This window comes from Homo sapiens, chromosome 7, assembly GCF_000001405.40.
Source record: "Homo sapiens chromosome 7, GRCh38.p14 Primary Assembly".
Taxonomy (NCBI): Eukaryota; Metazoa; Chordata; class Mammalia; order Primates; family Hominidae; genus Homo; species Homo sapiens.
The window spans coordinates 18,593,636-18,620,213 of NC_000007.14; the positions used below are offsets into that span (position 1 = coordinate 18,593,636).

The window sequence follows — 26,578 nt, forward strand, 5'->3', positions numbered from 1 at the left end:
AAGCTCAGACTCTTGGTAAATTATTTTAGTGAAGCAAACTTTCTATGTGACTGTATGACCAAACACATGCTGGACATCCTTAGGATCCCTGCATCATTCCATAGCATACTGCTACAGTGAACTTGGTTATGTGAGGCTATGGTTTGTATACACTAAGGAGAAAGAGCATAAACATAGCTGAGGCACGTGTACAGCGTGTGCAGCTGATTATTGCTGACCAATATGCAGTAAAAACTACCAAGTAAATAGTGAAACTTCCTTGTCTTTTCTAGGGCTGCCCACCACACATCATTGGATCAAAGCTCTCCACCCCTTAGTGGAACATCTCCATCCTACAAGTACACATTACCAGGAGCACAAGATGCAAAGGATGATTTCCCCCTTCGAAAAACTGGTAAGTTGGTTTAACAGGAACTCTGTTTGCTCTTCTGTAACACACCTGTAAGTTTCATTTTGCCACACCTCTAGAAGAAAGTCAAAGGATTTGAGTCGTAGATAATATACCTCCCCACCCCTGCCCCCAGCATAAGCAAACAATGCACACACATACCCTACTTATTTCTGCATCAGTTGATTCATGACATAATCAAAATATCTCTTTTTCAGTTTAAAAGTTTATCATATTTGAACTTTAGCCAAATTATTTTCTTACTAGGAATAAATAAAAATAAAAATTTCGTATCTCGGAAAATCTAACTCTTCTCCATTAGATAGGGCCTCTGTAATATCTTTCATTGTCCTGTTTTTCTGCTGTACCTCAACCATTTACCACAAAAACGAGAATAATAAAGTTTAATTTTTCCAATAAATATTTTACAAACCTTAAATTTTAATTGTTTTTGTGGTGAAAGCAGGTAAGGCCAAAGCTACCTTCTGAGTAAGTGACTAGCCTAATATCTCATGGATTATAATAGAACTCAGAGTGAAATTATATCTGATAATCTCATGAAGTTAGGGGAAATAGCGCAATTAAGCTTTTATTTAGAATTTAGTAAACAGTTCTGTGGCTCTAAGGATTGTATTTGCTGTTCCATCTTCATCTCCTTTCTGAGCATTCTGATATGTATATATTTAATGTCTTATATGCTTTTACTGCTATAATAAATGTTTAACTAGATATACATATAAATAGCATTTGTGTACATTCTATTCTAAATCTCAACGTTGTTTGCCAAATATAGTTCTTTAGAGACAGTAGTAAATTTAAAAATGTTTATCTCCACAACTGATCTGAAAAGATATTCATGTAAGATAGCTTGGTCTATTGTATTTGACTCAGATCTACTTGAAGAAGTATAGATTTATTTGTTTTATATATGAAATCTGCAGAGTGAAAATGATTTCAAATAATTATATTCATTTTCCCAAGCAATTTTGAGAAATTAAAATGAATATAGATTGTAAAAACACATGCCGAAGCTATTTTTTGTCATATAATTTACCTGTGGCATAATGAAGATTTTAAAATAAAATCAGTTATGAATAAGAATTTATTATTCGCCATCTAGCATATATTGAAGGCACTAGGAAAGGATGTTTAACTATTGCAAAACAACCTGTGGCTTTTTAATTTAAATAGCCCAAATATTTTTGCATTTCTACTAAAAGATGATAAGTATTATAAAATACCTTAATAGAAGGCTATGCAAAGGCAAGGATAATTGAGTTTTATGTATTGCATCAGAATTCCACCCTATTATCTGCAAATCAGAGTGTCTTATAAATAAACTTTTCTAGGATGAAAGAAAGCAAAATGTGAGCCTCTATGTTATTTCTAAAACATGAGTATAGTTTATGAAAAGTGATCCATAAAGGACAGGAGTTTTAGAATGTGGGGACTTTGATCTGCAGGCTTGACATTTATTTGTGAGTAGCATGAGTAGGAGCTATTTACTGAGATTATGCAGATACTACCCCAGGTCTTAGGGCAGTGAATGGCATTCAAGAATCTAAGGAGTTACTAAAAGGAAAGAAAAATATGGATTCCCCTTATGGCAGGAGGTTACTGATGAGTGATATAGTTACATTCACAGAGAAAGACTTCTATCCTGCTGAGCACAGAGCCTTTGAATATATCCTTACCACTGGGAGATTGAAAACTGACTGCAGAACTGATAACTGACTTTGAAAAGAAGTGGCATTTGGGAACATTAAGCACCCAGTGAGAAAATCTGATATTTTTAATACTTAAGGAGAAGTACTAAAAACCCATACTTTGTGTCCCACTGTTGCCATGCGAACAGCTTAAGGTTTTTCCTCTGTGAAGAATAAATAACAAGCTGTTAATTTATTCTCATAGATTTTTTTCAATCCACAACACAATTTAAAAAGAAATCCTTCTCAGGATATATATGTTACAAACCCTATTTAGATTTGTACAAATATGCAAGACATTTTCTGTGCCTTATTATGTGCTATATAATAATAGTGAAAAATCCCTGGTCTTTTCTAGAGGTATTTTTTCTGTATTTGATCAGTATTTCATGTTTCTTCCTTTTATGTTGAAAATCTGATATTTATGAAGTGTCTGGCTGTTGATCTGTAAAACCAAACATTTTCAAGCATCGTAGCAATAAAGTTCTTGAACAGCCATTAATACTTTAGTATCTCTATAGAGGTTTTAAAATATTCCTTAATTCAATTCCAATTGTCTGTTTAAGAAAAATAAGATGTAATTAAATACAGATGCTTTCTATACTCTATCTAAAATACTTAGAGATGCCCTTCATTAATTACAAAATAGGTGGAACACTCAGCTTTTATAAATATAATCCATTTGGTGTATTTCCAATTCCATTATGAGAAAATTTAGACATATATTTGCACTAAAAGAATAACACTGAAATGTTGTCAAATAATTTTTACTTCAATGTTTATTGTATTTCAGTGACTCAAAAGTATTTACAAACAAAGCGAACAATAAAATTTTACCATAATAAAACATATGTGATGATTGGGGAAACTGTTTAAGATAGCTTGTGTAAAGCTACATCATACTAAATGAAATCTGGAAGAGTGTCATTGATCATAGAGTGTAAACACCAGCCCAGCTACTGTAGAGTGACGCTTTGTTATTAGAGCCAGATTCTAAACCTCTCTTGTCTGCTTGGATTTCATTGAACTCAATCTTAGAGTTAAAAGAAGTTGTTAAATGAGTGTATCCTATCGTTTGATCTATGTATGATACTATTTTAGTTTCTTTTAAATCTACATCAGCAATATGTATTAGCAAGCAAGATTTACGAGAGTAAAACTGGAATCAGAGTTAGAAAAGTCCTAATGATCTTACATTGATTGAGATAGCCCTAGGATGTCCCTTAAGCAGTGAGCACAATTTGAAACCTCTCTTGACCTTTTAGGACCTTCCCCAGACAGTGATAACCCGGGAACAGTTAACTACAGAAACCTCATTTGCCTGCAGAAATCTGACCTTTGTCACGCAAAGTGGACCTTTACTTCCTTCCCCTTAGGAGAATGATAGTTGCTCCTAGAATTTGGGCATTTTAGAAACATGGAATTATATTAAAAGTTGGCTCTAATCATGCCCATTCCAATTCACTTTTCTTTAAAATGTAAGAATGGAGTGACTTCTCCTCCTTTCACAACAACATCAAAGGCTTTACATAACTTATTTTGAAGTGGAAAATAACAATTGTTTTTAATTTTTATATGCATTGCCCACACTTAAAGTAGTACTTCCTTCTAGAATTATACATTGTAATTAATTTTGTTCTATAACACAAGGATAGGTTGATAGGAAAATTTGGAATATTTTACTAAACTTATACTTTGGCTGAAAATAGTATCATTGCTGTAGTAGATGACTTTATTGTTTTTATATAGTACACTGCTGAACTGATAATAAACTATGAAGTAGGGAAAGGAAGTTTTGGAAATAGTACATATTTCCTGGCACTTTGGAAATGGTACATGTTTCTCACAGAGATTCTACATATGTGGTGATTTTGAACTGACCTTCAAAACCATTTGATTGGATTCTGTTCCAGTGAGTGTGTGCATATGTTTCATAAAATATTGTGATAAAATTTCTAGAAGTTTTACCCTCCATTATATTATTGAGGTTTTACCCAATGAACTTTGCCTTTCTTTGAATATTACAGTCTTTCCATTTAATACTTCTGAACAAAGTGAGTTAGCTGGCTAGATTAACCTCTTAAAGTGCACAAGCCATGTAAAGCTTGGCTTGGGCTGATAAGAGACTTTTCCAGCCCCACTGAAATATTTATTTTAATGGTCAGCAACACTAGAATAAGACTCAAAGATGGAAAGAGTCCAAACATAAGTGAAGGTTTTGGAAGGCCAGTATCATTTTCCACACTGAGTAAACTGGAACGAAGGCAGAGATTAGATATGTAGCTTTATAAATTGCCTTTTGGTATAGCAGTCAGCAGTTATGTTCTAGTACCTTGATGACCTATTCAAGTCATTATAATAAAAAACACAATAATTATTTTTAATAGTTTAGAATATCTCTTCCTCTCTCTCTCCCTCTTTCTGTGTCTTTCAGAATACACTTGTGCATGTGTGAATTGCATACATGAACATTATACACATTTCTGCAAAGATATCATTAAAGATGGCTTAGGCTTATAACGATATTTGCTCAAAATCTTATTCAAGATTGACGAACACTGGAGCATTTTTATATAGCTTAGTACTCTATCTTGGTTACATTGTTTTGACTAAACTTGTCAAAGTTTATTTTTATTGAAATATACTTCTTTTAATGAATCTTATACTAGTTTTCTCAGAATTGAGAAGTAATATGGCCATTGTAATTCAGGCTTTGAATCCACACATACCACTTGGAAATTTGGGTCCTCAATCTTGAGCGATTAATTTAACCTCTCTAGGCCACGATTCCCTCATCTGTCAAATGAGGATAATAATTGCACTTGGTTTGCACAGTTATTTTTAGAATTCAATTAAATAATGCATGTAAAGCACTTAGGATCATACCTAGGATTTAAGGAGTGCTTACTCTTGACTGTATGCTTGTATAAGGAAATGTTATTTATTTCTATTATGCCAAAACTAAATCTCTTTTTGTTGTAGAAGGTCTTTTTAATGTCTTACATTCTTCTACCTTTATTAATAGAACAACCAAACTAATAAAAAGGTGATCAATATTTTCTTTTTAAGCTATGGGCAACTCACAAGGCTACTGTCAAAATGAGGGTAAAGTTATTTGTTAATTTTGCATATTCTCTGGTATTTCAGAGCTCACTATGGTATCCAAAAGAAGCAGCAGGCTGCATGCCTATAGTCCTAGCGACTCAGGAGGCTGAGGAGGGAGGATTGCTTGGCCCAGGAATTTGAGTCCAACCTGGGTAACATAGGGAGACCCTGTCTCTTAACAAATAAAATAAAAAACGGAGCAGCAGGCTTGTTTTTGTTGTTCATCGTAGGAGGAAGTCTGATTGATGTTCTGTGCTCACTAGGGCCAGAGTTTTAATTTCTGCTGTTAACTTCATTTTTAAAGTAGCAGACTTTAATTTTAAGAAAAGTTTTATATTTACAGAAAAATTGAGCAGATATTGTTGAGTTCCCATATTGTTGCCTCCTCCTAACCCCTAGGTTTCTGCTTTTTAAATATCTTGCATCAATGTGGTACATTTGTTGCAATTAAGGAACAACTATTGATACATTATTGTTAATGCAGTCCATAGTTTATATTAAGGTTTACTCTGTGTTGTAAGATTCTATGAGATTTAACAAATGTGTCATATCATGTCATATATCCACCATTACAGAATGATATAGAATAGTTTTACCACCCTAAAAATCTCCTGTGCCCCACCTATTCATCCTCCCCCCACCCAACTTTTGGTAACCACTAATTTTTTTATTGTCTCTATAGTTTTGCCTTCTGCAGAATGTCATAGGGCTACGATATGTGGCCTTTTCAAACTGGCTTCTTGTATTTGGCAGTATGCATTTAAGATTCTTCCATGTATTTTGGTAGATTGAAGCTTTTTTGGTTACTGAATAATATTCCATTGTATGGCTGAACCACTGTTTATCCATTTACCTTTTGAAGGACATTTTTGTTGCTTCCAAATTTTGGTGATTATGAATAAGCTGCTATAAGCATTCATATGCAGTCTTTGTGTGGACATGTTTTCAGCTCAATTGGGTAAATACCTAGGAGTACATTAACTGGATCATGTGGTAAGACTTGTTTGTTAAAAAAAGAACAACAAACAACAAAAAACTGTCAAACTGTCTTCCAAAGTGGCTGTACTATTTTGCATGACCACTAGCAATATAACAGAGTTCCTGTTGCTCCACATACTTGTTAGCACTTTGTATTTTAAGTTTTTTTTTTTTAATTTTAGCCATTCTAATACGTATGTAGTGGTTTCTCATTGTGGTTTTAATTTGTAATTCCCTAATGACAAGTGGTGCCAAGCATCTTTTCATATGTCATTTGCTATCTCTGTATCATCTTTGGTGGTGTCTTTTTAGATATTTTACATTTTTTAAATTGGTTTTTTTCTCATTGTTGAGATTTAATAATTATTTGTGTATTTTGGGTACAAATTCTTTTTTTGCTGTTTGTCTTACAAATATTTTTCCTCAATCAGTGGTTTATCTTTTAATTCTTGTATCATTGTCTTTCACAGAACAGAAGATTCTAATTTTATTAAACATCAATATTTCCTTTCATCGATCATGCTTTTAGTTTTATATCCAAAAATTTTTTGCCAAACCCAGCGTTAACTAGATTTTCTCCTGTTTTCTTCTAGAAGTTTTACAATATTTCATTTAGATCTATAATTCGTTTTGAGAAACTTTCAATGAAAAGATAAGGTCCTTGTCTAGATTCATTGTTTTCCATATCGGTGTCCAATTTTGCTGGCAACATTTGTTGAAGAGACTATCATCCTTTCTCCAAAGAATTGCCTTAGCTCCTTTGTCAAAGATATATTTGTGTGGGTTTATTTCTGGGCTCTCTATTCTACTTCACTGATCTACTTGTCTGTTCTTTTGCCGATACCACACTGTCTTGATTACTGTAACTTCATAGTAATTCTTAAAGTTGGGTACTGTCAGTCCTCTTAACTCTTCTTCCATATTGTGTTGGCTATCCTGAGTCTTTTGCCTCTGGGTATAAAGTTTAGAATCTGTTTGTCAATAACCACCAAATAACTTACTGGAATTTTGTTTTGTTTTGTTTTGTTTTGAGACAGGGTCTCACTCTGTCTCCCAGGCTGCAGTGCAGTGGTGCAATCTCCTGGGCTCAAGTGATCTTCCCGCCTCAGCCTCCTGAGTAGCTTGGCAGCATAGGCACACACCAACATGCCTGGCTAATTTTTGTATTTTTCGTAGAGATGGAGTTTTGCTATGTTGACCAAGTTACTTACTGGGACTTTAACTGGGATTATGCTGAATCTAAAGGTCAAGTTGAGAATAGCCATCTGAACAATACTGAGTTTTTCTATCCATGAATACGAATAATTCTTTCATTTAGATTTTCTTTGATTTCTTTCATCAAAGTTTTCTAGTTTTTCTCATTTACATCCTCTACATAATTTGTTTGATTTATACTTTCCTAATTTTTTTGGTATTGATGTAAATGTTACTGTGTTTTAAATTTCAAATTCAAATGGTTCATTGCTGGCATATAGGAAAGCAGCTGACTTTTGTATATTAACTTTCTATCTTGCCAATTGGTATAACAGCTTATTCATTGCCAGAGTTGTTTGTTGTCATTGGTTCTTTGGGATTTTCTGCATAGACGATGTGATTTGTGGACAAAAACGTTACTTTATTTCTTCATTCCCAATCTGTATGCCTTTTTTTTTTCTTTTTCATGTCTTATTGCACTAGCTAGGACATTCAGAATGATGTTGAGATGTCGAGCAGGAGAAGTAAAAGGGGACATCCTCACCTTGTTCCCAATGTCAGGGGAAAGCATTTTGTTTCTCACCATCAAGTGTGATATTAGCTGTAGATTTTGTGTTTGTGTTGTCAAATTCAGGAGTTCCCTCTATTCCTAATTTTCTGAGAGTCCTCACAAATTAATGTTGGGTTTTGTCAAGTCTCTTTTCTGTATCAACTGATATAATCGTACGATTTTTTAAAAAGCCATTTGATGTGATGGTTTACATTAGCCAATTTTCAAATAGTGAACCAACCTCATATACCAGGAAATCCTACTTGCTTGTGTTATACAACACTTTTTGTACATCATTGGATTTGATTTGCTAGTATTTTGTGGAAGATTTTAAAATCTATATTCAGGAGAGATAATTGATCAATGGCTATCTATTCCTATAATGTCTGTATCTGATTTTGGCAGTATGGTAATGCTGTCCTCATAGAAAGAGTTAGGAAGTAGTCCTCCTATTTTCTGGAAGAGATTAGAGTATTGATACCATTTACACTTTAAGTATTTGGTAAAATTTACTAGTGAAACCATTTGGACCTGGTGCTTTCCTTTTTGGAAGGTTATTAATTATTGATTCATTTTCTTTCATTAGATATAGGCCTATTTAAATTATGTTTTTCTCCACTTGTGAGTTTTAGTAATTTGTGTTTTTCAAATAATTCATGTGACTTTTCAAACTTGTCAGTATAGAGTTATTCATAATATTGCTTTATTATCCTTCTAACATCCACAGCATCAATAGTTATGACCCCTCTTTCATTTCTAATATTAGTTATTAGTTTCTTCTCTCTTACTTTTTTTTTCCTGACAGCCTGACTGTAGTTTCATCAGTTGATCTTTCAAAGGACCAGTTTTTTGTTTTGTTGAGTTTTCTCTCTTGATTTCCTGGTTATAATTGTCTTGAATTTCCCATTAATTTTTACTTTTTTTTTCTGCCTACTTTAAGCTTAGATTGTTATTTTTCCTCTATTTTTTTTAAAGTGGAAGCTCAGATTATTCAATTTTTATCTTTTCTTCTAATATATACACAATGCTATAAATTTGCCTCTAGGCACTGCTTTTACAGCATCCCACAGATTTTGATAAGTTGTATTTTCATTTTCATTTAGTTGAAAATATTTTGAAATTTATCCTGAGAGTTTTTTTAAGTCATGTTTTATTTAGAGTCATGTTATTTAATTTCTAATTACTTGAGTATTTGCTAGCTGTCTTTCTGTTATTTATTTTAATCTTTCTGTTATTGATTTCTATTGTGGGCTGAGAAAATACTGTGTACACATTCTGTTCCTTTAGATTTGTTGAGGTACATCTTATGCCTCAGAATGTATTCTGTTTTGGTCAGTAGTACTAAAGTCTCCAACCGTAATAGGTTTGTCTATTTGTCCTTCCAGTTCTAACAGGTTTTGCCTCATGTATTTTGATGTGACATTATTAGGAGCATACATATTAAGGATTGTTATATCTTCTTGGAGAACTGTGACTATTTTATCAATATGTAACAAACACCACTTTTATCTTCGATAATCTTCTTGGCTTTGAAATCTGCTCTGTCTGAAATTAATATAGCTCTTCCAACATCCTTCTGTTTAGTGTGAACATGTTATATCTTTCTCCATTGCTTTACTTTTGATCTGTGTCTTATATTTAAAGTGGGTTTCTTTTAGGTAATATGTAGTTAGAACGTCTTGTTTTTTAAATTTACTGACAGCCTCTCTTCGTGTATTGAGACAATTCACATTTAAAATGATCATTAATATAATTAGATTAATATCTAGAATGTTTGTAACTGTTTTCTTCATTATATTTACTTTTTTAAAAAAATATTCACTTCTCTCTGACTCCTCTGCTATTCAGAACTTTATATAATTCAGTGCTCTCTACTCTCTTAACATATCAATTTTACCTCTTTTAAAAATATGTTTCAGTGGTTTCTCTAGAGTTTGATGAATCCATTTATAGTGAATCCATGTCCACTTTCAAATAACAGTATACCACTTTACAGGTCATACAGGTACCTTATAAAAGTGTATTTCTAATCTCTCCCTTTTATTCTTTATATTGCTGTCATTTATTTCTGTTTTCCAAAAGCTACAATTATCCAGTATTTTGTTCCTATTATTATTGTGCACAGTTAACTATTAGATCAATTGATAATAAAAATAAAAGATTTTCTTTTACCTTCATATGCTCCTTCCTTTATATAGGTCTGAGTTTCTGACCTATATCCTTTTCCTTCTCACTGAAAAACTTTTAACATTTCTTGTATGGCAGGCCTACAGGCAATAAATGTCCTTAGTTTTTGTTTGTCCAAGAAAGTGCTTTATTTCTCCTTCTTGTTTGGGATAATTTGTGTTCTTTTTAAAATTTTTTTGGCAACATTTTGTACTATACTTTCTTTTTTATTCTACAGCTTATGACAGGACATCTGATCTAAATCTTATCCTTGTTGCTCTATAGATAAAGTTTTTCTTTTTTTCTATGGTTTCTTTGAAGATCTCTTTATCTTTTATCTTCTGCAATTTGAACATGATATGTCTCGATACTGAGTTTTTGGTATTTATATTGTTTCATATTCTCTGAGATTCCTGTATCTATGGATTGGTGTCTGTCATTAATTTTGGATAATTCCCAGCCATTATTATGTCAAATATTTATTCTTTCTCTCTTTCTTGTTATTTTGCTATTCCCATTAGGAATATGTTATACCTTTTGCAATTTTCTTAGAGTATTGGGGAATTCTGTTCCATTTAAAAAAATTGTTTTTTGCCTTTCTTTTTAGGGAGTTTCTATTGACATATCTTCAAAGTTATTGATTCCTTCCTTAGCTGTGTCCAGTCTACTGATGAGCACATTTGGACCTTTTTTTTTTTTCTTGAGACGGAGTCTTGCTCTGTCGCCCAGGCTGGAGTGCAGTGGCGTGATCTTGGCTCACTGCAAGCTCTGCCTCCTGGGTTCACGCCATTCTCCTGCCTCAGCCTCCCGAGAAGCTGGGACCACCACCACGCCCAGCTAATTTTTTTTTTTAATTTTTAGTAGAGACGGGTTTCACCATGTTAGCCAGGATGGTCTTGATCTCCTGACCTCATGATCCGCCTGTCTCGGCTTCCCAAAGTGCTGGGATTACAGGCGTGAGCCACCGCGCCCGGATAAGACCTTTTTTAAATTTCTACTGCTGTGCTTTTGATCTCCAGCATTCCCTTTTCAATCTTTCCTAGAGTTTCCATTTCTCTGTTTATATTATCCATCTGTTGTTGCATGTTGCCAACTTCCCATTAGAACCCTTAACATACTACTTTTAGTTCCTTTAAGTTCCCTTTCTGTTAATTCCAAAATTTGTGTCATAACTGAGTCTGGTCTGATGTTTGCTTTGTCTCTTCTGATTGTTTTTCTTGCCTTTTAGGATGCTTTATAATTTTTTGTTAAAAGCTTGACATGATATATTGGACAATAGAAATTGAGTAATTATACTTTTGATGTGAGGTTTTATGTTAATCTGGCTGGGGCTGGGCTTTGTTTAATATCTGTTGTAGTGGTAAATGTCAGAGTCTTCAGTTTTCTCTAGTTTCCTTTGATTTTTTTCCTTCTCCTATTGCTTTGGGGTTTCCCTAAGAGCTCCTTCTTAAATAGAATTTGTGTCCTGTAGCTCCCTCAGTTTTAATTCACTGTTATAATACAGAACCTGGTTGATGTGATGGTAAGGCGTTGGACAGGAGAAATGTTCTATAACCTTACAACTAAATTTCATTTTTTTAAGTGGGCCTGACTTTGTATGCTGTGATCCCTTGAACTACTTCTTAGCCTGTTTCCTCCCCTTAAGTAAGATAGGAAGCTGAGATTTACTAATTGCCTTCTCCCTTAGGTCAGATAAGGCTCTGTAAAATATTTTCCCTTGGAGAGTAGGCTGTTGTTATGAAGAATCCTTCGTGTGTATTTCAAAATTGTTACTTTTTCATTAGACAAGTATTACAAAATGGTTACTTTTCTTCCCTCTCCCACGCCTACTCCCTACCTTCACTTAAACAGAAAGGGATTTTTTTCTCATATATTCACTGAGAGAAACTGGTTGGGTTCCTGGAAGTAAAACCCATGAAAATGTAGGATTCTTCTGAGACTGGGCCCCTGGAGTTTTGTTTGTTTGTTTGTTTTTTGAGACAGAGTCTTGTTCTGTCGCCCAGGCTGGAATGCAGTGGCATGATCTCGGCTCACTGCAAGCTCCGCCTCCCAGGTTCACGCTATTCTCCTGCCTCAGCCTCCCGAGTAGCTGGGACTACAGGCGCCCTCCACCATGCCCAGCTAATTTTTTGTATTTTCAGTAGAGATGGGATTTCATCGTGTTAGCCAGGATGGTCTCCATCTCCTGACCTTGTGATCTGCCCACCTCGGCCTCCGAAAGTGCTGGGATTACAGGTGTGAGCCACCATGCCTGGCTGCCCCTGGAGTTTTTAACTCTCAAGCTGGTTCACATTCAGCCTCCAGCAATTCATGCCTCCAACACCTCATTAAAATTACCTCATTTAAATATTTCTTCGTTACTGACTCCATTGGCTTCTGCTCACTGTAAGCTGAACTCAGCTGTGATTTTCTGTATTTTCCTATTTCTCCAGATTTTAGCATGGCAGTTTGCCCTGCAACCTTAATTCTCTGATAGATCTACGAAAATAATTTTAATTTTTACTTTGTTCAGCTTTTTACTTGTGGTGAGGTTGGGAGTGAAAATTTCCCAGTTCTTCACATGTGGAAATGAAACCAGAAGACTACCACTTACTTTTAAATCTGTAAAACATTAAAAATACTTTTTAAAACTCAACTTTTTCATTTTTTGAGGTGACAAATTCATATTTGAGCAATATTATTCTTACAAATTAATGATTATATTTATTTTAAAGATTAACATCAGTGTCCAGCTTGCTCATGATTAACAAGTTCATATGCTAAAAACTGAGAGAGAGAAAATAGGTTGAAATTATTTTAAGTCACATTTTGTAAGCAAGACTTGGGAATTGTAAGGACTTTTTGTCGATTTTTGTCTTACTGTTTTCATAACATTAAACCATTTAGCAAGGTATGAAAATCAAACCAATTTTTGACCTGTATCAAATTAGAAAATTTTAGCTTCTTTTCAAAATAAGACTCACTTTTAAAGTAATATTTTTTTCTAGATAATAATTTACTTTTTAAGCATTCATTTTGATAGATGTAATCATTTAGATTATGAAAAGTTGGCAATTTCAAAAGAACATATTTAGTTGATTTTAAGATACTCATTTTTTAAACTAACATATCTGAAATCTGAATTGCTCTCATGGATGTTTATAGTTTAGTAGTGCTTTCTGGTGGCAGGGAGTTAGTGGTATACAAGGTACTTGTAAATGTTGTAATTGATTAATTACCATAGTATTTACCCAACAATTAAATGGTCCAGAATACTAAGATTCCTCATGATAAAGAAATAATACAAATGTATAATTTATACATTTTTTACTTTAAAATAACAAACATAGTAGAAATTAATAATCCTAAAAATTTTTTATGAAAAAGTTAAGTATGTTAGTTTCAAATCAATGAACAAAATGATTTAAATTTCACAGTTCAGTAAGTGAGAAGCTGGTTTCATTGATTGCATATGCAATTTGTATGACAAGTAGTTGGAGCTAAGAGCAAGTATCAAATGACAATTGTGTGATAATGAGTCAGCCTTGTAAGAACTTCGAAAATCTAACTCAAATATTTTGCTTGCAGAAAAGCTAAGGTAGCCTAGAAAGACAAAGCATGGAAAATAATTTCATGGCTTGGCATTAGATGAACAAAGCTGAGAATTCTAGCTTGGCACTTTTGATGAGAGCTGTGTGACCTGCACATAGTGCAGGATTTCTCTGAGCCTCAGTTTCTTCAAATAGCAAATATGGAAAATATTTGCCTTCCAGTGTTATTGTAAGCAAAAATATACTGCCCAGTACAGTGTGTGACATGGGTCTCAGTACATATTGCCAGTATGAATTATTAAGAATAATAGTATGGCATTAGTGACAGGAAATATTAGTAGTAGCCATATAATGTAATTATTGAAGAACTAGAATGGCAAAAGGAGACTTAAGTTTTAATCTTAACCTTGTCACTAATACATGACTATGAGCATAGTGCTTCATGATTTTAGATTTCTGTTTTTTCAGTTAAGTGCAAATGGACCAAATGATTCCTAAGATTGTATATGAAACTAAGAAGGAAATATATAATTGCATTTCATAAAGAGGTGTGATAAAAATATATTAATGATTTGAAGAATATATAAGAAATAAATGACCATGCTTTTGCACAGTGGTATCTCAAATTAATCATAACTGGTAAGTGCAGAAAAGTCTAATGACATATTTTTCACTCCTCATGAAATGCTCATTTAGAACAGGCAGGACATTTTAGATAAGATTGGAATGAGAAAATGGCAAAAAATAATAATTAAGACTTTAAAAGCATTTAGCCATCTGTTGTATAATCATGAGATTTATTGAAAAATGATTCCTAATTTATAGTATTCACAACTATAGAACTGAGAACACTGAGGAAATATTCCATGCAAATGCATGCATTTATATGTCTTTAGACTTACCTAATGAAGTAAATTAAGAGATAGAAAATAAATGATGAAATATTTGGGATTGTATTTTCCTTAAATTTTCAGCCTCTAACTCAGTTACTTTAAAATGGAAGTGTTCTTTATGGCAAAGAAATTGGAGAGAGGAGTGGGAGGGGAGGGGGACTGGCTTAAGAACCATGTTATTATTAAAAGCAGCACATAATAACAGTTTGACGTGACATGTAAGATTTTTTATCAAGTGACTTTATTTTGCTTTATGTGTATCAGCCTCCTGTTTTATAGATTTATTTGCTTTTTAGCCTCTTATTTGCATTTTTATTTCAATATTCACAGTGATTCCTCCATTATTTCCCACTTATTCATATACAAGATAAATTCTAAAGTTATTTTTCATAGAACCTTCATTCTAACACTTCCCTTATCTGTATTCTCATATCATTGTAATTTTTGCTATAAAAGCTGGTAATTTTGTCAATTATGAGATATTAAATTTTATAATGTTGTTTTTATCCTGTTCATCCCAATTAGATGATAAAAATATCTGAGAATATAATGCTTGTAACATCTTCCTCCTTTATTTGACAAACCACACTTTGTGCTGGGCCTGGACATAAATATTAAATAAACCAGTATAAGTAAAAAAGGATTTCTGACATTAAGGAGCTCACAGTCTTCATAGTGAGGCACATGTAATAGGTTCCTAATAGATTGATTGATACTTTAATTCAGCAGTTGAACAGTTGAACCACCGTACTTCTTGAGGAACTACTATTTCATATTTTCAGATTATAGGCATTCTTGAGTGAAAGCAAAGATCCAAGCCACCCGAGGAATATAGCTGGGAAAAGACATTAAGATGTTATTATTATTATTTTTTTGGTTGTAAGCCTTCAATATCTTTATTTCAAAATGCATATTTTAATGTCATTATATATATTTTGAAGTAGGTAATACAGAGGTAATTAAGAGAAATTCTTGGAGAGAATGCATTAGCCTATTGTAGCTGTACATATGTGGTTCTTTGAAAATAGTATGGACCAGCACTGCCAAATATAATTTGATGGAAGAGTTCTATATTGGCATGGTTCAATTCAGTAGGCACTAGCTGCATGTTGCCACTTGAAATTGAACACTTGAAATGTGGCTAGTATGACTTAGGAGCTAAATTTTTGTTAACTAATGTATTAGTTAGCTCATAACTAATTTTGTTAACTAATTCATTTGAATCTAAGTTTAAAAAGCCACCTGTGTCTAGTGATTATCATGTAGGACAGCACAAGTATACACCAAGGCAGGCACATGTGTGGCATAAGCATCATGGTGAAACCGTTTCGGTGTCCAAGACAGAGTTCACTAATCAGTCACAGCAAACTCTTCCCTCTGAGTTTGAACACAAGTCTTAGTAAAAGCATTCTAAGTCACATCACCTAAAGAAGATACAGTGTCTAAACAGAATTATATTTTCAGAACTCGTTAATTTTTTAAATATATATATATTTTTATTTTACTTTAAGTTGTAGGGTACATGTGCACAACGTGCAGGTTTGTTACATATGTATACATGTGCCATGTTGGTGTGCTGCACCCATTAACTTGTCATTTACATTAAGTATTTCTCCTAATGCTATCCCTCCCCCCTCCCCCAACTCCGTGACAGGCCCCGGTGTGTGATGTTCCGTTTCCTGTGTCCAAGTGTTCTCATTGTTCAGTTCCCACCTATGAGTGAGAACATGCGGTGTTTGGGTTTTTGTCCTTGCGAGTTTGCTGAGAATGATGGTTTCCAGCTTCATCCATGTCCCTACAAAGGACATGAACTCATCATTTTTTATGGCTGCTGGAAGACAGTGTGGCGATTCCTCAAGGATCTAGAACTAGAAATACCATTTGACCCAGCCATCCCATTACTGGATATGTACCCAAAGGGTAATAAATCATGCTGCTATAAAGACACACGCACACATATGTTTATTGCGGCACTATTCACAATAGCAAAGACTTGGAACCAACCCCAATGTCCATCAGTGATAGACTGGATTAAGAACTCGTTAATTTTTAAGAAGCAAGCACCAAATACAAATTAGTTTAGTTTAAAAAGTGGGAGGTGTTTGGAGGGGGTCATTTAAATGAATTTTCCTAGTGTCCAGCTGCTTAGATGATGTTATCAATTCAGTGTATTTAAACTTTGTTATTGGAAGTATGAGTTCCAGTCTTGCCTCTTCTGGGTTTTATGTGCAGTAATGCTCTCCCTCCAAATTTTGACAATAACCCAGAGCAAGCCTAGGCTCACCTTTTCACAGTTTAACAACGATAGCAAAAACAAACACTCTTTCCCCGGTCATTCTGATAAATTCCCAGGACCATCTCATTCGGACAGCTTATCTCACTTGCGCCCTCTAGACGTTTAGATGGAGTTTGCAGTTTACCTCTCAAATAACCTGGACTAAGAGCAAAACCCTAACCAGCATTCATCCATCTAATGGGCAGCTTTGATGTATAAACTTTTCTGTTTAGAGTTTTGTGTGGATTTTCACTAATGCGCTTGGCCTTTCCTAAGTGGACTTTTCAAGTATAAATTGTCTACCCTTTCTTCACAAGCCATCGTAAGCACTTCAACTCAAAGGAAACTTTTCCCAATCCTCTATGTTTTCTGCCCCAAAACAGTGATGTTGAAATCTTACAATTCCGTTCCTTTAATTTGCCTTTGCTGCTGTGCTATTCCCATGTACACATTGCACCTCCATAATAATCAAGTTTATTCAGAAGCAGGATTTGTGTTTTATTTTGGGGGCCTCAACAGTGCAAATGATATATTCTTTCCTATTACATTCTTTCCTGTTTATTTAAAAACCGCTGCTAACAACACAATAGAGTCATGTGAAATCCTTCGTTTTTTGAAACATTATAATAGGTGATCATGTAAGATTTATGAGATGAAAGCTGTATTTTCCAGAGAAATGCATTGAGACCTTTGTAATATAAATCATATTTGGAGAATAAAGAATGTAATAGCAAGAAGAGCATAATGATTTATTACATGACAGTGATGTTTAACCTACTTTAGACACCACACTGTGTTTTTCCATAGTAAAACACTGATAAGGGAACAGCACATTACTTTAGGGTATTATTTGGTCAGGAATAAATGGGTAATCAGTGGATTCTGAGATCACAACTAGCAAGAATAATATATATTTGTTCAATAATAATTTTGAAGAAAATTAATGTTAACAGACTTATATAGTAGAATAGATAACTTTGGTGACTATGTGCTAGATCCATTTTAGGCATCTTACCTATATCTTATTAACTCTATGCAATAATCCTAGAAATAGATTTTATTATTTCTCACCAGTTTTATAGATGAGAGAACCGTCACAGAGAGGTTTACTAACTTTCCTAAGGTCTGATTTTCTTTATTATGGCAGTATGTACAATGCCAGGTTTGAAGACAGCGAGTTTTGTTTCAGAATCTGGTCTCTTAACCCTTAACACTTATTCTTTGAACACGAATAAGTGATATCTAATATCATTGAGAATGGCAATTTTGCTAAAATTAAGTACCATGTAGCATCTATCCTGATAAAAGTAGTGACTTATAACAGTTTAGGTGGTGTCATTTGTAAGTTAACTTCAGTCCAATGATGAATAAAGTTCAAAATCTTTTTAGAAATAGCATATGTTTGGGATATTCTTTGTAAAAGCAATGATGAGAGATATTTTCAATGGAAAACAAATTATTAAAATCACAAATTTTTGTTTTCTTTCTGCATCGAAATATTTAACAAGTTTTTCAAATAAGGTATTTCAAAGGTGAAACCTGTTTCAAGTTGGGCTTTCCAAATATGTTTGCCATAAACAAACTTTCAGAACTAATTTGCTGATTATTGACAGAATTCTGAGAAATTGTAAATGTCATAGTAGTGCCAAAATATGTTAATTTGCTAATCCTATAAAGGAAAATACAATTTTTCAAATCTCCTGTATTTCTTAAGGGAAATAGATAAACTTACAGGCCCATAAATAATAGACATACTTTAATTACATGGGTTTAAATATTCCATATAGAGGCTATTACAAAAGGGATCTTTTGTTTGTAGTACAGTTATAAGAAAACAATGAATATATCTCCAGCTTTTATAAAATGTTTTTTAAAGACACATCAATTGTGTTTGCCACTACCACTACATATACATATGTAGAAAATCATTTCTCTTTGGATTTATTACTAGGATAATATTTATCTTTTTTTAAGAATTAATATACTTACTTATTGTTATTACAGTGATGTTATGAGTCCTCTAGAAGTGAAAGATGACTGTCAGATAGAGAAGGGGTGGGGAAGGACAGATAATATGCATATTAATGTTAGAGAATTAGAGAACTGAGGAGTCTCACTGAAGACTCCAGGGTTGGAAAAGAAGATGAGTAGACACAGAATTCAATGATGAAGAACTCTGTGATACGGAAGGCAGGAAGAGGAATAAAATGTTGGCTATTTCATAGGTAAGCATTGGAAACATTTTAATCCTTTCCATTGTTTAAAATAAGTAAATCAGATAATCCAGATATAGTGTTGAGTAAATCCTAGAGATGAGTGACATGAGACCACAGGAAAATATTTAGTCAGAAAGAGAATGGAGAAGCTGCCACATGAAGAAAGACCATGACTGTTAAGGTCTCATCTCTCTTTTAAGGGGCAGATACTAAGAGGAGAATATGAAAGACAAAAATCAGGAAGTTTATGTTTACAGAAAGTTTCTGAGTTTTAAAAATAGGTATGTTAAAATTTGAAACTTTAGGCTGACTAGCAGGAAATATTTTAAAATTTTGTTGGAAGAAATTTTATTAAAGTTTATAGTCTAAGAAGTTGTACATGTTTATAATTAGATATATTTATATATCTAATTATGTATTTATAATAGACTGAATAATAGATATATTTATATTTCTCTTTTATATATAAATATATATAAGTATAATATAATAGATATATTTATAATAGACTGAATACAGTCAGTCTATTACTTCATAGAATAAAGATTAGAAGGAACTGAATATATTGGAAAGAACAGTCCATTAGTTTTGTCATTTTTTTAAGAGTTTCATTAGCAATCTTCTAATTCAAGCTGTTCCAAAGAAATAGGTCGTTTTCACAGTTGTCCCTTTTAATTTTGGGAAATGAGACAGGAGAGAAGGAAAAGGAGGCGAGCAAATTTTTACTCACACTTAACACTGGGCTGGAAGTTGTGGTCACTCTGAGCACATAGAGCGGATTAAGGGACATTTTTGCTTTCAAGGAGCTCAGAGTCTGGTTCTAAGAGATTTTTCTCAACTACCCCTAATGTAAGCGTCTTCTAGATTTTATAATGCTTACACTCAAAATCTATCCCTCTCCTAAACAATGAAATAGAAAAAAACAAAAATTCATTGAAATTTACTACTATGTGTTGTGGCTATAATTTTTTTCTTTCTCCTTTTCTTGTCAAACTGTGATATCATTACCTATATGATTGAGTTTAGAATAACTTTTATTGAGCATTTATTCTAAAGTAGTTATTATGCTAGGTTATGATGTTATAAAAATGTGTATCATCTGATTCAGCGTTTGGTCTCTTCTAAATCAGTGTTCTGAAACAATACCAGGGACTCCCAAATCCTGAAATCTGTGCATTTTTCTCAGGCTTCCTTTTTCTCTGTGGCTTTTGACCCCATTGTCCAACCCATGCTCCTTAAAATTTTAACCTCATGGGCTGCCCTTTCATTCATCTGCTTTACCTCTCTATTTTTACCACCGCGTCCTTTAAATATGAAGCTCATGAAACCTGAGGTTCCTGAGGTTCCTAAAGTTGCATTGTCTCTTCTATTTTTTTAACTTTTCTATTTCAATTGTCACCATCTTAAAGACTTTGATCCTACTTCTTATTCATTCTAACCAGTAGTCGTTTCTGATAGTAGGGTTTAACCCAGCTTTCTCATCTATAAAATGAATAGGTTGATCAGGACTGCCTTCATTTTTTTTCCTCTAAGTTCTTTTATTTGGGATCTAACTCCACATCTCTAAACTTCAACCTTTTCATAGACTTCAGGCTAACATTTCCAAGGTATCTTGCAACTATTTAAGTGTAACAGATTTGGAAGTTGACCCTCCAATCCGCCACACCGCAAGACTTCCTCCTCCTCCTGAGTTTCTCAGTTCTGCCAATGCCTCTCTCCCAAACATGCAAGCTTGACTTTTGGGTTCAGTTCTGTCTCTGTTGTCTTCTTTGTTGTGTTCTTTTGTCCACTCTGTCACCAAGTTCTGTCTTTTCCCCCACCTACTTTTTCTCATTTTTAAAGTAGGAAGCATCTTTTCAGATGTATTTTTTTTTCTTCCATAATGCCTAGTGTAAACGTTGCACAGAGTAAGTGCTTGGTAAATATTTGTTGAATGGAGTCTCTCTTCTTCTCTTCTTGTCTGATGCTTAGTACTTGTTAAGAAATGGTGAATCCCAATTAAAGTCAACAAAATGTGAATCAGAGCAACATTCTCTTTTTTCGACCCATCTTAAGTACAACATTTTTTCTACCCATCATAAGTACAACATTTAAACCATCTGAAATAGAATAAACTGGTTAGAAAAATAGTGTTCTTCTTTGAGCCCCTCCAGAATCTGAATTCAGTGAAAATCTGTTCAAACCATAATTCTAATTAAGGGTTTTAGCTGCCAAATAATATGTTCTGGTTAAAGCCAAGTTAGTATTATGGAGTGTTTCATGAATAACAGCACAAGCTTTAAACTTGCTGTTGATTTTCTCATGGGAAACTCAAGTAAAGGAGAATGATACCTCCCTGTTGACTTTAACTTTTAGAAATGCAAAGCATGCTGAAATTGTACATAATTCTCTTCTAAAGAAAAGGAAATAGCATTTCAATGGTTTTCCTCAGTGTCTTATTGAGTTATGGTGGGGCACAATTGTGTCTGTTAAACTGATTTACCAGATGGAAGGTTACATTTTATATTTAGCTGATTAAGTTGTAAGAGACTGGAATTGTATCTCATACTATAAAGGTCATATATAAAATTAAAAAATATTTTGATTAACTATTTTGAAGCAATTAAAAGGTTTAAACTGTTCCCCCTCCTCTTTTACTTACATTAAACTAAAAATGAAGTTATTCTTAGAAATAGGCCTATCACAGAGTTGGTATTTGGCTTAATAATATCTCAAATGGAATGTGTAAAACAACAGCAACAAAAAAAGGGAAATACTCCCATTCAAGTTTTGGAAATTGCTTTTCTTGGCTATTTAATGTATTCTTAGTATTTTATGGTTAAATTAAATAATCCTTAATTTATATACTTATACCCTATGGAACTTTTACAGAAATATTTAAAGGAAATAAATTATACTTTTTGTCTTTTTTCTCTTTTGGATCTTCTGCAAGTAAACAAATACATTAATAAAACCTTTACCGTAGAAAATTAAATGTGGCAAAGTGCTAAGTAAATTTTTGTCCTGGCATTTTTGCTGTGTGATCATATATCATTAATACTACTCTTTAATTCCTACTACATTACCTAAAAATAATGCATTAAAAATACAGCCCAGTAAAATCTGATCTAGTCAGAACCAGTATTTCAGAATATTCAGACTTCCAAAATAGCACCAATCTTGGAATTCATTCAACTACTGTATTATTTTCCTGTGGATGCTGTAACAAATTACTGCAAACTTAGTTGCCTAAACCAATCTATATTTATTACTTTACACTGCTGGAGGTCATATGTCCAAAATGGCTTTGCCTGGGCTAAAATGAAGGCATCACCCTGGCGTGTTCTTTTCTGGGGACTCTGGGAATGAATCCCTCTCCTTGTTTATTCTGGCTTCCGGAGGCTGCCTGCAAGCTCTAGCTGTGGGCTGTCCCATCCTCGTGGCCACTAGGACCAACCAAGCCTTTCTCAAATGGCATTGCACTGACACTTCTCTGCCTCCCTCTTCCTTATTTTTTAAGGACCCCTTGGATAATCCAAGTTAATCTTTTTTAAGTCAGTTGATTGGCAACCTTAAATCCATTTGTAAGTTTACCTTTACCACCTAATGTGATACAGTCACAAATTCTGGGGAATAGAACATGGACATCTTTGGAGTGGGGCATTATTCTGCCTACCCCAAGTGCTTAGAGTTTTCGTTAAGATGGTGTTTTCTGCAGTGTACTTTGACTTACTACCCCTTTACTATTTTATGTGAAATTTGTTTGCGATGCCTTTATCCGGGCAGTCATCCAGAGAAAGTTGACTAAATAGAAGGTGTTTAACTGATGATCTGTCTAGAAAAGGATTCAGGGGAGGCCTGAATGAATCTAGAGGTGAAATTTTGCCTTTTATATCCATTCAAGATAGGTAATAGTGTTTCCTTATAAATATATATTATAAAGAGAATGTATGATATAGTTCAGTAAAGTTATAAATGCTATTGAGGTAGAATTGAATTACCAATAACGTTCCAAAACCATAAAGGTTGTCTAAAGGTTATAAAATCAAAACTTGCAAAGCAAAATAAATAATAACAGATGCCCAGGTGACTTGGAAGGTTCTGAAACAGGACAAGAGCAGGAAGCAAAGTGGTATTTGAACTGGGGAGAGGACAGTCTCCTGTTGGCCAGAAGTCACTGCTGACCCCTTGTCAGTGGTGCTGCTGATCCATGGTACCTGAATGTATCTGAGGGGCTGTGAAGAGTTGAATAGACTTAGAGGTTACACCTAAAGACTTAAAATTATATTGTGAGAGATAACAATTATTAGTAACAGTAATTAGACGTTTAAAAAATGTACGTGCATCTCTTTATTAAGCTGAACAATGTGATTCCCTAAAGAAATAAATGGAACCATGTTCTGTCCAGAAATCTCAGAACCACACCAGGTGCCTAGTTTTCCTTTATTTCATCCAGTACTAACTTCTGTTATTGCTTGCTGTTAAATCTCCCCTTTCTTATCGTGCCTACTGTTTTAGTTCATTCCCTATTTTGTTCAGCCTCCATTCCAGTTATTAACCACTGATTCCATCATACTCCTGTCCAGTCAATCCTTTGACTTTCTAAAGTTTAAGTCTAGTCTTCCTACCCTCTAAAAGAGCCATTTACTGCCTCTTCTGTTATGTACAAGGCTAAAGCTCCTCCATCGCAAGCATGATCTCTGTCTCCTTATTCCCTCTCTGACCTCTCTCAACTCTCCCCAGTCCACTACCTCATACCCCTTTGCCCTAGCAGTAATGAAAAAATTGAAATTCCATGAACAAATCTTTCTGTTTCCCATTCACACAAGCCATTCTCATCTGGTTTTCCAGATGCTCCTTGCTCTTAAAGTGCCCTCTTCAATAGTTCATACTCATCTTTAAATGCTCAGATGATATATATACTTCCTCTCTGTTAAGCTTTACCTGGTACCTTCCTACCCACCAGGCCACCCCAGATAGTCACTTCATATTTTATGCCAAATGTATATGCCCAAATATGCCCTGACATATCTCTGTGCATATATCTCTATATTAAAATTACATTCTACTCAGTTGAGGAATCCTTGAGGACAGTATCTTTAGCCTATTTATTATTGTATCCCCAGCATCTTCAGAGAGCTCATAATTGGCACTGAATAAATTTCTGTTATATGAGTAAATGAATATATGCACTAAAATAGGAACTAATACACATTTATTTGGGTATTTAAAATTCTAGAAGTTGTTTTGCTAAATAATTTTTAAGAATTTAATTTGCAATAACATTTTGGAGGTAGGAGACTAACTGCTTCCGGATGACTGTAACTGGGTAAATCAGAAGAAAACAAGGAAACAAAATTTTTCATGTTAGCAAGTTGATGTTATAGTCTTTTAAATATTATTTTATTTTAATTCTTGTGGAATGAAATGACTTGCTAGAGGATGATTTTGCAATTTAATGGGAATTGGCTAAAAATTTTCAGATAAACATCAGAGAGACAAAAACCTAAAGTAATATATTTGAAGAAGATAATTGTATGGCATTTCAAATTAGACAGTGATTTACTATACTTATTGTAGTCAATGTATTCCATTTATTACTTCTGAACTCTTTAAGGTCAGGAATGGCTGTTATTGTCCACATTTGCAGGCAAGAAAATTGAAGCACAGCGACATTAAATATTTTACTCAGATGTTATGGTGGTAGAGTCAAGACTGGAAAACAACTCCAGACTCTTAGGAGGGTAACAAGATGAGGTTCATGCTGAGAGAACCAATAAGTACAATAAAGTTTAGGTTTATGATGATACCCAGGATATTATCAGGGGATAGGTATTGCCTTTCTGGACCATGAAATCCTGACCTATAACGTTTTCTGGGAGTAATTCCATGCTGTCTCCATGTGTGTCCCTATCAAGCACTGGGATGCACCCTAAATAGATCTCACCTACTAAAATGGCCCCACTCTCTCACGCAGTCAGTTCACATGTAGCTCTTATGAACTGTCTGAGTAGGAGGGACATTAAAACATTATATATCCACAATAAAATTACTTTTCATGCCATTTCTATTTGAATGGTATATAAAAGATATATCTAGTACAGAATTTTGTATATATATATATATATATATATATATATATATATGTAGGAATTCGTTTGTTACAGAAAGATTCATAGCAGAATAATTACACAGAATTTTAGAGTGAACAGGACTTGTTTACAAGAAAAAATACATAAACACATGTATGAATTCAGATTTCCCCCAAAGTAGCATGTTATTTGTGAAATACCAATTCAGAAGTATACTTTATAATAAAACTTTGGGATTCAGGTAGAAAAGAAAATTATTTTAGAAACTGGATTGAAGACTGAAACATGTTTATAATCTAGTTCGATTTATTGAAATGATAATTCAAAATGATGCTAGATAGATTTTTAAATTTGTCTTAGGTAAATAAAATATATTTGAAAAATTAAAGCATATAAAGGAGTTAGCATATGAAGGCATTCTGGCCTGTATGAGATATGGATTTCCTTGACTCCAAAATGTAGTATTTGTGATGCTTGCCAGAAAAGAGAAATTCCTTCTGCATTCCACATCTGATCTATGAGACCTCTTGCCATGACATTCAGCATCAAGAAATTCTTAGAAATTAGGGTAGTTGAGGTTCATCTAGTTCTCTTCTCAACAATATTTGAGACTCAGCCTTTTAATGTAAGTTTCCTTCATGCTTGGATGTATACAGGCATGTATTATTCATTCAGCAACTGTTTATGGAGACCCATCGAGCCTATGTTCTTGCTAAGTACTGGAAATAGACACAAGATCAATGATTACATTATATTTCTGCTAAGCATCAAGGGCTGGAGCCATATTGCAGTGTTTTGAGGTTAGGAAGTGGTAGTGGCAAGTATAGGCTATTTCTTTAACTTGACTATGAAAGTGCAATCACAGGAAGTAGCTCATAAGATCTGTGTCTATGGGGGCTTATTTTTATTTGAATGGGAAATATTTGAGCCTGTCTACATTCTGAGAAGGAGCCAGAAGAGAGAGGGAATTTGAAGATACATGTTGCATAACCTCTATAAGTATCTCATAGATTAACTAAAATGTGTTTGATATTTATCTTTGAAGTTTTATTTTTTATTTAGTATTCCTTCCCTCACCAGCATACTTAATCTCCATTCTTTGAATGTGTGGGCTCTGTGCCCTTGGACGTGGTTATTTCCTCTGCATAGAACTGCACTTCTCCCACCTTTACCTGTCAACATCTCACTAAGCCCTGGAGGATCCTCTTTCAAAGCAAATGAATGTCTGCCTTTCAGCCACAACACTCTGCTTATACCTATCACGTGGCACTGATCCCAGTTAGTATATTATTCATTCTTGAGACCATGAGCACCTAGGAGAAAAAGACTCTCTGTCTTTTCTCTGGGGGAGTTGCCTCAGCACTTAACATGCACTTTTTCCCATTCCTTGATTCCTTGTTTGAATAAATAGCTAAAGGATTTATTCCATGTAGTTGGCACTGTATAGGTACCTGAACAATGAAAATATGGCTACACATGCTTCCAGTCTGCATGAAACTTGCAACC

General features: G+C 33.9%; 1 protein-coding gene across 39 annotated transcripts in view; it reads left to right on the forward strand.

Annotated features, from left to right (window-relative positions):
- HDAC9 (histone deacetylase 9) overlaps window positions 1–26,578 on the forward strand; it is a 915,592-nt gene that overhangs the window by 506,811 nt on the left and 382,203 nt on the right. For all 39 annotated transcript variants that reach the window (NM_001321868.2, NM_001204144.3, NM_001321869.2 and 36 more), the window contains one exon: window positions 273–394. In NM_001321868.2, coding sequence (NP_001308797.1) covers window positions 273–394 — 122 coding nt within the window. The remainder of the gene's footprint in view (window positions 1–272; window positions 395–26,578) is intronic.